We start from the raw sequence: 14,714 nt of genomic DNA, 5'->3' as shown, positions 1-14,714 counted from the left end.
AACTCCATACGAACATGCTACCATTACTTATAACATTGAGAAGTCCCATCTTGAATGTGAAATGTCTCACAATTGTTTCCTGAATGTATATAGCACAGATTTCTCAGGTAATAGGTATTAAGTTCTGCAAGCACGTAGCTTTATCTGAAATAAATTGCCAAGACTAAAAGTAATATATTAAATTCCACTGATATATAATTTTCTTTTTTTTTGAGATGGAGTTTTTCTCTGTCCTTCAGGTTGGAGTGCAGTGGCATGATCTTGGCTTAAGGCAACCTCCAGGGTTCAAGCGATTTTCGTGCCTCAGCCTCCTGAGTAGCTGGGATTACAGGTGCCCACCACCATGTTTGGCTAATTTTTCTATTTTTATAGAGACAGGGTTTCGCCATATTGATCAGCTGGTCTCTAACTCCTGACCTCAGGTGATCCACCCGCCTCAGCCTCCCAAAGTGCTGGGATTATAGGTGTGAGCCACCATGCCAGGCTGATACATAAATTTTTGACTCTTAAAAGACTAGTGACCATTGCTCATCCATCTCTTCAAACTCTCAAAGCCCAGCAATTGGGATGTGGAGGAAGGACAGGGAAGGAAAACTGCCATATTGAAAACTTTGCTAAACTAAAAATAAAGCCTTAGCTTTCATCAAGACCATGAATCTCTGGCTTTGGCTAACTCTGGTCTTTGACAGGCTGAGTAAATAAATGAAAAATCTTCTCAGAAAATCAGTCCTTCCTGCTTCCGTTTCCCCACTGCATTAGGTATTCTCGTGGCTGAGTAGAGGGCAAACAGGGAAGATTATATAAAGCAAAACTCCTAATTTCAAACGTTAAATTCAATTAAAACATGCCCGAGTCTCAGTAACCAAACAAAATTTTACCAACAAGGAATAACTATGACATAGGAAATTATGTTTAAAATGTATGAAAATAAATTGAAGGAAAATTACAAAAGATCAAAGCAGAACCTGATTCTCTATAGACAGCATTTCTGCACTTGTATCAGGAGTTATCAATGAAATGGAGTGATATGAGTGTGTTTCAGATAACGTAGAATAGTGCCAACGTGTCAAACGGTGATAGAAAAAGCAGCATTTCACAGAAATGTGCAGAGTGAGCCCCACGCGCAGAGAGGGACCAAGCCGTTCTAAGCCGCATGGAGCAGCTAAAGGTTTAGCCTACACCTTGGACTCCTGCTGCTGGCAGTCGCGCCCACAACTAAACCCAGCGCAGTCTGGGACCTCTGATCAAAGTCTGCGTGAATCCACCCACAGACATTCTAGAAGTCCTTGGAGGCGACTCTTTTAATGCAGATTACTGATTTCATTGAAGTAGTCAATCAACTGTTTTCCCCCCTTGGCTGTTAAAATGTCATTGAGTGAACACAGCAGATAAAAAAAAATGATGAGCAAAAAAATAATATTTCAACTTGAACAAACTTGCTATTTGTAGACTTGATCACATGAATCTGCTGCAGTCAACATGATTTCAGCAGCAGCTACGGGAATGAATCCCACAAAGGGACTGAGTTTAATCATCCAATCCCAGACTGTATTGATTTTGGGACTACTTGCAATGACTATATAAATAAGCCATTTCTTTGCAACTGTATCTGCAGCCGGTCATGAACCCAAAACCTTCACAACCTGGTCCAAAGTGAATTATGCCCTGAAGAAATAAATTAATAAAACTAACACAGCCGGCCTTCTCCACCAACTTATTTTCACGTTTCAAGAGCTTAAAAATATAAAATCAATAACCATTTAGTCATAAGGGTAAATGAAGCAACATAACATCAAAGTATCCCCTTTAGCCATTCAAGTCATCCTAGGTAATTTATCTCATCAAAAGGCAGAGGTAATAATCCTTTCCACTCTGAGACAAGCTGCCACACAGCTGCTGTATTATCCTAGAGTAAACAAGTTGGGAGAAAATATTAAAAATCAATATCTGTTTCCTTCTATCAGACCAGCTGGCATCCATCATAAACCCACCCCTGTAAAGAGTTCTTGGAGTTGGGCACCCAGAGTGAAAAACACAATCGAATTAACAACAGAAAACCAAGATCTGCTCAATGGGGAAAGACAGCTGGATTTCTTTAAAAATGCACTATTTTACAATTGCAAAAATTTACTGAAATTATAATTATGGGGGAAAAATCTATCATAGCCATAGGGTATAAAAAAAGCAATTACCGGTGTTGTAAAATAAAAATACAAACAGCAGCTTTTGATAGTAACTGCAAGTCATTCCAGGTATTTGATTTATTTAATTGGTCATTTGTTCATTCATTCACTTATTTATGTAGCGTGATGATTTCCTGCCATGAAATTCAGACCCCAACCCCTCCAACTGGAGAATCTGTCACATTGTCACATATCATATTCCCTCCCCGCACCCCCGTCCCAGGATGCCTAGGAAATGGCTGGACTCTCCCTCATGTGATCACAACTGCCCACATAGGAATGGCTGTGATGCAACATCACGGAGGGGTTTGTTCCTGGGGGAGGGAAGAGAGCGTGCCTGATCTTAGATGTGGCTTCCATGGTGACAGATTCAGACGCTGGACACCCCGGACACGTGAGCAGGAACCAGAAGCTACATCCACCCAGTGCTGAAGGAGAAGGCTGCTGGGACTTCACGTCTCCTGCTGCAGGAACAAACTGTTGGACAAACCCATCCATAAAACAGAGAGCCGGCTGGGCGCAGAGGCTCATGCCTGTAATCCCAGCAGTTTGGGAGGCCTAGGCAGGCAGATCATTTGAGGTCTGGAGTTCGAGACCAGCCTGGCCAACATGGTGAAACCCTGTCTCTACTAAAGATACAAAAATTAGCCGGGCGTGATGGCGCATGCCTGTAATCCCAGCTACTCACGAGCCGGGACAGTAGAATCACTTGAACCCAGGAGGCAGAGGTTGCAGTGAGCCGAGATCACACCATTGCATTCGAGCCTGCGTGACAGAGCAATACTCCAAAAAAAAAAAAAAAAAAAAAAGCCTTGGATTCTGACGATCTGCTTGCCTTAACACCTAGTCTAACTCTTATTATTTCTGGAAAATATGATGTGATTGTTGTTCTCACTGAAGCTCTTAGATTTACCTTTTGTAAAAGTTATCAGAATGTCTGTACACACAGGCACACACATTCACAAACACACCTAAACACGCACAGTGTATTAGGTACTTGAAACACACAAAATCCTATAGCTACAATTACTTCTCAGGAATGGTTGACTCAAGTCTTTGGAATTTAGTTACACGTCATCATCATTCTGATAAACCACTTCTGTCTCATACCCTCCTTACAGTTTTCTGTACTTTAAGCTCAATACAAGGTCTTCCTCCAAACTTCCCAAATGCAATAGCCTTATGCATAAGATCTTTTCACAAAGAGGCTTCTTCTATTCCTGAGTAATTAATGCCTTGAAGAAGCCCAAAAATAAATCTCTCATAGGGTAAATCCTACCTGTGTCAGTTTATCTCATATTTTATTTTTAATAATAGTGTCATTCTATCCTATCTCTATCAGTGGAGCACCCCTGGCCCCAGGCATTCTCATCTTTAAATGTGCAGCCCCAAATCCAACATCTTGTTCAGGTACTGCCTGACAAGCACTCCTGCCCTCCTAGTCCAGGGATAGACACCAGGTATTCATGAACAAGGGCTAAGAACACATCAGATTACAATAGAATCTTCACCATGTCTGACTTACTGGGAATTTCTATTTAACCAAAAACCCTAAATCATTTCTACATATATATCTGTTTAGAGATTCATGATTCCTCTCCTGTCTGTCATTTTGAAGTTTTTATTTTGGGTTTTGTTTTAACCTAGGTAGCTGCCCTTCATTGTTCCATAGCAAATGTGATCTCATGAGTGCTCCCCCAGCTAGCTCAATGAAAGTTCCATGTGGATCTTGATTCTCAGGTAGCGGCACATCTGCTGCTATCCCCAGATCAATTGTCATGCCAGAGAGTGGAGGAAGACACACTCAGAATTCACAGGGCCACGGGGCCTGAGTGGCACAGAGCTTTCTGCTTCCCTAGAAACAGAAACCCCAAGAGAGCAGGGCCTCCTGCACCTGCCGGCTGTGCACCTGCCACACTCCCACACACCTGCAGCTTCCTGGGCAAGTGCTCAGAGATAGTCTGAGCAATGTAAGACTGCATTGCTTTTCATGATGTCAGAAAATAGCAGAGAGGTTCTTTTATATTCCAGGGTCAACCCAAATTAGAAACCAATTACAAATCATTCCAAGAAGCTAAAACAATGTGCTTTTGATAGAAATAATCAGAGGGTGATGTTTCAGGTCACTTGGCGTCTTCCACAAAGCATCAGCACTCTTAATTCTCATTTGAAAATTTTCCTTCAAATTAGACACTTTTTAATACTAAATGCTGGTAGTAGAATAATATTTGCAAAATTGTCCTCTTCTTTGAAGATAACTTTTTATCGGAGAAATGACTAAGTGAGCTCTTGTTATCTGCTTAGTTCAGAACACAAAGTATAAACCTAAAAACCTTCAGATTATGATGTATTGGAGTATCAATCCTCAGAAATATCACTTTTGCAGGCACGTAATACTACACTGAAGGGTAAAATAGATTACAAATGGGGCTCTCTCGGAGGAAGGTACCTAAGAGTCCGGTAGACACCATCCTAAATCCTGACCCACAGCTTGTCGCCAAGACAGCTATGAAGGCGGGACACACATCGCAGTTCCATGGCCAAGTGTCATGATGTGGGCTGAGGCCATCCATCATGTGAGCCTCCCACAACACTCTCCCAAGCAGATGTGCTGAATCTCTTTCTTTTAGGAAACATTTAATTATTGACACACTTCTCAATGGGTACTGAGAAAGTGAACTCTTTAAATTTCTATGGTTGCTAAGAAACTGATATTTAATGTTTGAAAATTTTCATCTATATCAGATATATTATTTGTTTCCATTGCAGACAGAACTCGGAGATCTGCTAAAAGGAACAAAATAGGACTTTTATAAAGAGAAATAATGCAGTGTCATGTCTGATTTATTAAGGAATGTTTAGCACAGCAAATAAAGCATAGTTATTCTGGCTAATGAAGATTATTTACTTGCATTTACTAATTGAATATTCAATGAGGAAAATATTTATGTACTGGGTAACATTTTTCTATTTATGCTAAAGGTAATATTGAATGTCATGTAATAAACATCCAAGTTTTTATTTGTTGAGATGTTACTGAATTAAAACTTTATTTTCCTATAAAATTTGATTAAAAAACATTTTCAGCTTAATAATTCTGGAGAGTGGAGAAATGCTAAATGTACCAAATTGCTTAGTTCCAGTGACTCATGCAATCTATTTGACTGAGAAGCAGGTATAGAAGACTCCCGCCTTTGCTATGGGAAACACGTCCACAAAGGGCGGCACCAGTGTCTGTTGTTCATGCTCCTGTCTAAGAGGAAGTTAATTCGTGGCCACCGTGAGCCAGATTATCCTTCCTGGGAATGTTGATTTGGACAGGGAAATACCAGTCTATTCTCAGTGTTTGGGTGGAACTGTAACATGTGATTTGGTTGCTTAGAAGAAGTCATGGATTAAAAAGTAGAGAAAGCCAGCCATCTTGCAAAAGAAGAGAAACAAAACCAAGGGGCAGAGGAAAGAGATGGAAAACCACACTGAAAGCTTTTCAGCTCCTAGTCCCAGGCCCTTCCTGAGCTTTGACTACATTTCTGCCCTTGAGTTCTACAAGACTGTCGTTGCAAGAATTCCTTTCCTGCTTAGGTTAGACTAAGTGGTTTCCTAAACCAGATTTGAAAACTTAGATGAAATGGTCAAATTACAAGATTAATATTTATTTCTAAAACAGAGGCCAGAAGAAATAACACATATAAATAAATCTACACAGTTTTAAAAATTGACTCAGTAGTCGAATACCAGTGTCTTCATCATCATCATCACCATCACCACAAGATTCAGATGGTATTAGTAGAGATCGTAAGCCATGTCTTATAACCCCGCTTTTCCACTTAACTGCCAATCATAGAGAAATTCATGCACATATATACTGGCACACAAACTGTTTTGGGCATTATTTATGATAGCATTATATCTTCTACCTCTAGGCCATCTGGTATATATTTTACAAAATACTATGCAGCTATTATTAAATACAAATACATGCAGGTTTTGTTATTTGTTTGGTTTAGGTCATTGATGCATACTATATCCAATTTTCTATGTTGTGCTTCTCTCATTCAATACCTAATAGAAATCTACTCAAGAACCAAATAGATCTTCTAGAGGTAAAAAAGTCAATATCTGAAATGAGAACTCACTAGATGGATTTAGCAGATTAAAAACCTCAGAAAAGTGTCACTTGGAGGGCAGAGAAAAGGGGAGATGATAGCAAAGCAAAGATGAAAAAGGAAAGAAATGACTGCACTAAAATAAAATATATAAAATTATCACATTAATTATTTTGTGTAAATTATATGTATATGAGCAACTAGAAATGTTTGAGTCAGAAGATTTGAAAAGTGAAGAAGTTTGGAAGGGTAAATAAGTTTAAAATTAAATAAATATTCCTTTCGCCCAAAGATCCCAGACCTAGAACTCTATCTCATAGAAATAAATTAAGTAAAAACATATGTACAATGATATTTGTTGCAGGACTATTGCAAATGGCAAGAAACTGGAAATAATGTAGTGCCCTTAATTAGAAAAATGGATGAGTAAATTATGATATTCTATTTTCATGAAATAGAATACAATGCAACCATCAAAAATAAATAGAGCTATACATTGCAGAAGACAAATCAGAGAACTTAAATATATAAAAAACGCATCATATCCCCTCAAAAAAAAGCACAGAGATGGAGGAAAAACACTAGAGCCTCAGGGACCTATGGGAAAACATTAAACAATCTAATAGAAGTATATCTGGAGTCCCTGAAACAGAAAAGAGGTCAGAAATACACTTGAATAAATAATGGTTAGTATTTTTCCAAACTGATGAAAACTATGAACACACAGGTAGAATAAACTCACTAAAGCCCAGTCAAATAAGTACAAAGAAAACCCTGCAAGCAGCCAGGGATTAGAGGGTGAGAAAACATGAACAGGGGAGACTAAGATAATAATAATTACACATTGCCTAAGAGAAACAATGAAAGCCAGAAGACAATGAAAACAATCTATAAAGTGCAGCAAAGAAAAAAAAAAGTCAACCTGTAGTTCTATGTCCAGGGATATATTTGTCAAACATAAGGCAAACATTTTTTTTGAGTAAAGAAATCCAATTATCACCATAGATATGAACAACAACGTTAGTAGGAAAAAAAAAACCCACAACTTTATGCTGAAATTAAGCAAAACCAGCTCAGAATTTGGATCTATAAAAATAAATAAAGAGCCTCCAAAATGGTAAATGCGCAAATAAGTATTAAGGTTATTTTTTCCATTTTTGAAATTTTTAGAAATAACTGATCATTTAAAGCAAAAAGTAATACTATATTATGAGGTTTATATGTATAAATAAGATATACGACAATGGGAAATGGAATCACACCCTTATAAAGGTCTTGCATTATATACATAGAGATATAACATTTAAAGGTGTACTTCACTCAGTTAAAGTTTCATGTTGTAAACACTAGACAGCACTAAAATTATATATAATTATAAAGAGGTACAACTAGTAAGATGATAATTCTGATAAATTGGAATAATTTTATAATCTCAATATAGAAAAAGGCAAAAAAAATAAAGACAAAGTAGTAAAAAACAGATGGGACAAATAGTAACAGGCTGATTTAAATCAAATCATAATAATAGTTACACTAAATATAAATGATGTAAAAACATTAATTGAACAGAAGAGATTATTAGATGATAAAAAAGCAATACTCCAATATATCCTATCTGTAAGAAATAAGCTTTAAATATAAAGACAGAACCAGGTTAAAATAAAATGACAGAAAGGAGGATAAAATGCAAAAACTAATCATAAGAAAGCTGAAGTGACTATCTCAGTATCAGACGAAGTAGGCTTTAGGACAAGAAATACTACAATATATAGAAAGACATACAGAATATATTTTATTATAACAAAAAAGTCAATTTAACAAGAAGATATACTCATCCTAAGTTTGTATGTACTTAATAATATGTGTGTTAAAATCATGAGGCATACAATTTCTAGAGTGAAAAAAGAAATAGATACTTTCATGAGTAGAGTTGGTAATATTAGCACTCCTCTCTTAGCAACTAATATAACAAGTGGAGAGAAAATCAGCAAGTACATAGAAGACCTAAACAACACCATCGACCAACTCAAATAAGTTGACCTTTATAGAATCTCCACCATACAATGGCAGAATTCATACCTTCTCAAGTGAACCTGGAGCCTTCTCCAATGTAAACCAAATAATAGGGCATTACATAAGTTTCAATAAGTTTAAGAGGACTGAAATTATACAGAATACATTATCTGACATGATGGCATTAAATTAGAAATAAATAATAAGAAGATATTTTTGAAATTCCTAAGTATTTGGAAATTAAGCAAAATATGTTTCGTTTTGTATTTTTGAGACAGGGTCTTGCTCTGTCCCCAGGCAAGTGGCACAATCTTGGCTTACTGAAACCTCACCCTCCTGGGTTCAAGGGATCCTCCTGCCTCAGCTTCCTGAGTAGCTGGGACTACATGTACATGCCATCACACCTGGCTAATTTTTGTATGTTTTGTAGAGACAAGATTTTGCCATGTTGCCCAGGCTGGTCTCAAACTCCTGGGCTCAAGCAATCTGCCCACCTTTGTCTCCCAAAGTGCTGGGATTATAGGAATGAACCACTGTGCCCAGCATAAAATATGTTTAAATAACCCAATGAATTGAAGATGACAGCAATATTTTAAACTGAATGAAATGAAAACTAAAAATGCAACATGTAAAACTTTGCAGGCTTCAGCTAAAGCAGTTCTTACAACAAAATGTATAGCATTACATGCTTTTTTTGAAAAATGGGAAAAGTCTAAATTCGGTAGTCTAAACCTCTACCTTAAGATACTGATAAAATGAATATCAAAGCAAACTCAAAATAAGAGGAGAAAATAATAAAGATCAGATCTGACATTAATAAAATAAAAATGGAAAAACAATAAAATCAAAAGGTCATTCTTTGAAAGGATCAACAAAATTTATATACTTTCAGTTGACTGAACAAGAAAAAGAGAAGAACAGATATAAATTGCCAGTATCAAGAGTCAATTAATACATACCACTACAGACCCTAGAGTCATAAAAAGGTTATAAGGAAGGATTATAAAGAAATAGACTTACACAAATATATTCAACTACTTAGATAAAGTGGAGAAATTTTTTAAAGATACCACACATAAGAAAAAAATAGAAAATCTGAATAGCTCTGTATCTATCTAAAAAAAAATTTTTTTAAACCTTCCTACAAAGAAAACTCCAGGCTCATATGACTTCAGTAGTAAATTCTATCCATCATTTAAGGAATAAATAATAATACACATTCTCTTTTTAGAAAATAGAGAAGTTTCCTAATTTATTTTATGAGGCCAAACTACCTTGATACCAAATTACCAAAACCAGACAAAAATATCTCAAGAAACATACAGAACAATATCTATCATTGAATATACAAATTCTTTTATAAAATATTAGCAAATTAAACCTAGCAATAAAAATAAAATATATTGTGACCAAGTGGAGCTCATCCCAAAAATTCGGGATTCATTAACATTAAAAAATTCATTAACATGATTCACCATGTTAACAAAATAAAGAAGGAAAACTACACGATTACCTGAATTTATGGAAGAAATAAAAGAAAAGCATTCATCAAAAATCAAGCTCTCAACAAAATCAGGGGAGAAACGGACATCCTCAATCCATAAAGAACATATACACTCAGTCCACAATTAACAACATTTAATGATGAAAAACAATACTTCCCTCCCTATAATCAGGAGCAAGGCAACGTCTGCTCCCACCACTTCTACTAAGCATTGTCCTGGGGCTTCTACCCAGTGCAATAAGGCAAGAAAAAGAAGCAAAAGTCATACACATTGCAAAGAAAGAAATAAAATTGCCTTTATTTGTAAATAACATAATATCTGGATGTAGGAAATTCTAAAAAATCTACGAAAGCTGCTAGAATTAATTGACTAATTTAGCAAGGTCAGATAATAAAAGGTCAATATATAATAATTATATTTCTCTATGCTAGCAATGAGCAATTGGAAAATGAATTTTTTAAAATATCCATTATCAATAGCATCGAAACCTTAACTATGTAGGAATAAATATGTGCCATATTATATGCTAAACTACAGAATATTTCTGGGAGAAATTAAATAAATCTAAATAAATGGGAAGAAATATAATATTCATTGATGGGAAGACTCAATATTGTGATATCAATTTTCCCCCAGTTAATCAATAGAGTCATTGAAATCAAAATCCCAACAGACATTTTAGTAGAAAATGACCAGATTTTTCTAAAACTTCTATGAAAATGCAGATAATCTGGAAGAGCCAGCACAGCTAGGGAAAAGCTGAAGAACTTGCACCAGCTGACTTCCACGTCTGCCCCAGTAACAAAGTCAATGTGGTATCCACTTTGAAAGACACATGCAGATCCATGGAATAAAGTTAATAGCCTACAAATCCATGTGCTCTTAAAGGTTCAGTTGATTTTCCAGTCAAGTTAATGGGGAAAAGATAATCTTTTTAACAAATAGTACTAGGACAACTGGATATCAGCTAAAGTACAAAAACAACAAAAGCAAAACAAACAAAACAGCACCTGTCAAACACATGCAAAAAAACTTGAAATGGGTCATAGTCCTAAATCTAAAATTATAAACTACAAAACTCCTGGAAGAAATAAGGAGAAAATCTTATTTTTGTGACATAGAGGCTAGCACAAATTTCCTGCATATCATGCAAAAAGCTAAACCCCATATTTTTTGAAAAAACTGATCATTTAAACTTAAATTAGAAAGCTTCTGTTCTTAGACTTTTTTTTTAAATGAAAAGGTAAGCCATATATTGGGGGAAATATTCATAATACATGTTTCAGACCAAGGTTCTGTACCCAAAATATATAAAGAACTCTTACAACTTAATAATAAGAATATATTGAAAAACCAGGTTTTTTCAAAATGTTGGCAAGTATTTCAAAATGTCATTTATAAACAAAAGATATATAAATGATCAGTAAGCACATGAGAAAAATGTTTGCCATGTTATCAGAGAAAAGCAAATTAAAATCTCAAGAAGATATAAGCACAAAACCACTAGATTAGCAAAAGTTAAAAAGCTGAAAAATAGCAAGTAGCAAGTGTTGGTATGAATGTTACACCTCACTGGTGGAAATGTCAAGTGAGACAGGCCTTTGGCAAGCAGTTTGGAAGTTTCTTACAAAGTCGAACATTCACTTAGCATATGGCATGGTGCTTGTGTGCCTAGGTATTTGCGTAAGATAAATGAAAACATAATCCAACAAACGCTTGCACATGAATGTTCATAGCAATTTTACTCAACAGCCCCACTAAATCACCACATTGAAAATTATGCCTTAATAATGATGCTTGAAAAAAAATTGTGTTTTTGAATATCATTAGAGAGAGGTTGGAAAGTAACTGAGAAAACATGATCAATTAAAAACAATGGCATTTATGAGGAAAAAATAAAATGGCAAATATAATATCTAGAAATAAATTATTTGGCAGAAAAGAAAAGTGAAACAGATCAGTACTTGTAATAAATATGAGTTCTGTTCATGTAGCAAAAGAGAGAACCTTACAAATTGGGTTAAAAAAATCCAATTCTGCACCAACAGAAGAGACGCACCAAGGCACAACTTTCATATGGAAGTTGAAAAGAATTGGATGGGAAATGGATGCCAATCAAATGCTAATAAAAAGCTAGCAACTGGAGGCATTGACAGAAAATAAATTAGAAGTCGGGGTGAAAATAACAAGGGGGATTAAATTGGTTATTTATATAATAAAGGGAATAATGCATTAAGAAGACATGTCAGTCATAAACTTTTTTGCACATAACAGCTTAAAACACACAATGTACAAAAAGTAGAAAATTCTCAGTCATTGTAAGAGACAGTAACTTAAAATTCAGAAACTAACAGATTAAATAGAAAGAAAGTAGAAAAGTTGAATACCTATATGTAATAAGCTAGGTCTAATTTGCCTTTCAATATTGAACTTGCACAATTAGAGGATTTGTTTTAAGTGTTCAACAGGGGCAGTGACTGGCTTCCAAGCCCACTCACCTGGCTGTTGACCAGCCTCACTCTCCCCACATGAGCTTGTGCACAAGGCGGCCTCACGATCTCCAGGTCGCTGGTCTCAGGGAAACCTTGGCAGCTGGTTTTCCCCAGATCAGTGATTGGAGGATAATGAGAAAGAAAGGAGACTCAAAATGGAAAGTCAGAATCTTTTAATACTTAATGTTGGAAGTGACATTCCATCATTTCTGACATGTTCTGTTCATTAGCAATTAGTGAAGTCTGCTCTCACAGCTGACATGTATATATGTATATATATGCCTTACATGTCTACAGGTGCACATACCTGCGGATGCAGGACTTACACATCTATAGGTGCACACGTATGTTTACATAGGATTTACATGTTTATAGATACACATGCGTGTATATACAGGCATACTTCAGAGATGAGGGCTGGGTTCCAGACCACTGTAATAAATCGAGTCACACAAATTTTTTGTTTTCCCAATGCATATAAAAAGCTGTATTTGGAGGTGCTGGAACCATCCGGGTGCCTCTTGCTCTGCTGCTTTAGCTCCGGAGTGTTTGGCGATGGGGCAGCAGGAGGTGGGGAGGCTCATGTCGAGGTTTAATGCATTCAAAAGGATTAATACCATACTGCACCATTTGAGAATGTCCAAGCACACAGATGCAGCAGAAGACGTGCTATTGGGGGGGGGGAAAGAAACGTGTGCAGATGTATCCATGGCTAGAGAAGTGGGAAGAAGATCCTGAAACTCTCCTGATCATTATAAAGGGAGCCGGAGGAAAGGCTTTCTGTGATGGGAGTGATATTAGAGTCATCTCGGAGGCTGAAAAGGCAAAACGGAAGATAGCGCCAGTTTTCTTCAGAGAAGAATATATGCTGAACAATGCTTTTGGTTCTTGCCAGAAACCTTATGTTGCACTTATTCATGGAATTACAATGGGTGGGAGAGTTGGTCGTCAGTCCATGGGCAGCTTCAAGTGGCTACAGAAAAGTGTCTTTTTGCCATGCCAGAAACCGCAGTAGGGCTGTTCCCTGATGTGGGTGGAGGTTATTTCTTGCCATGACTTCAAGGAAAACTTGGTTACATCCTTGCATTAACAGGATTCAGACTAAAATGAAATGATATGTACAGAGCAGGAATTGCTACACACTTTGTAGATTCTGAAAAGTTGGGCATGTTAGAGGAAGATTTGTTAGCCTTGAAATCTCCTTCAAAAGAAAATATTGCAGCTGTCTTAGAAAATTACCATATGGAGTCTAAGATTGATGAAGACAAGTCTTTTATACTTGAGGAACACATGGGCAAAATAAACAGTTGCTTTTCAGCCAATACTGTGGGACAAATTATTGAAAACTTACAGCAAGATTGTTCATCTTTTGCCCTAGAGCAATTGAAGGTAATTAATAACATGTCTCCAACATCTCTAAAGATCACACTAAGGTAACTCCTGGAGGGGTCTTGAAAGACCTTGCAAGAAGTACTAACTATGGAGTATCAGCTAAGTCAAGCTTGTATGGAGGGTCATGACTTTTATGAAGGTGTCAGAGCTGTTTTAATTAATAAAGACCAGAGTCCAAAATGGAAACCAGCTGATCTAAAAGAAGTTACTGATGAAGATTTGAATAATCACTTTAAGTCTTTGGGAAGCAATGATTTGAAATTTTGAGGTGACAGGCTTTCAGGGTATATTCTGTAGCATGGGTTGGCAATCTGCAGCACGCAGGCCAAATCCAGCCTGCTGCCTACTTTTATATGCACTACAAGCTAAGAATGGTTTCTGCATTTTTAAATGGTTGGGAAAAGAAATCAAAGACTAATATTTAATGAAGTAAAAATTATATGAAGTATCAGAGTTCACAAATAAAGCTTTATTGGAACTAGTTATAAAAAAGTTATATTAATCCTGGCCAGGTGCGGTGGCTCATGCCTGTAATCCCAGCACTTTGGGAGGCCGAGGCGGGTGGATCACGAGGTCAGGAGATCGAGACCCTACTGGCTAACACAGTGAAACCTCGTCTCAACTAAAAATACAAAAAAAATTAGCCAGGTGTGGTGGCAGGTGTCTGTAATCCCAGCTACTGAGGAGGCTGAGGCAGGAGAATGGCATGAACCTAGGAAGTGGAGCTTCATGTAAGCCGAGATTGTGCCACTGCCCTCCAGCCTGGGCAAAAAAGCAAGACTCCGTCTCAAAAAAAAAAAAGTTATATTTATCCTTTACTGTAGTCTATTAAGTGTGCAATAGCATTATGTCTAAAAAGCGGTGAGCATAACTTAATTTAAAATATTTTATTGGTAAAAAAAGCTAAGGATGATCTGAGCCCTCAAGGAGTCCTCATCTTTTTGCTGGTGGATTGTCTTGCCTCAATGTCAGTGGCAGCTGATTGATCAGAGTGGTGGTTGCTGAAAGTTGAGGTCACTGTAG

At 36.7% G+C, this 14,714-nt stretch overlaps 1 pseudogene; it reads left to right on the top strand.

The window, feature by feature from the left end:
- LOC100130748 (3-hydroxyisobutyryl-Coenzyme A hydrolase pseudogene) lies at positions 12,794–14,151 on the top strand (annotated as a pseudogene).
- The last annotated feature ends 563 nt before the right edge of the window (positions 14,152–14,714 follow it).

Source organism: Homo sapiens, chromosome 5 (assembly GCF_000001405.40).
Source record: "Homo sapiens chromosome 5, GRCh38.p14 Primary Assembly".
Taxonomy (NCBI): Eukaryota; Metazoa; Chordata; class Mammalia; order Primates; family Hominidae; genus Homo; species Homo sapiens.
This window is presented reverse-complemented; position numbering and strand designations above follow the sequence as displayed.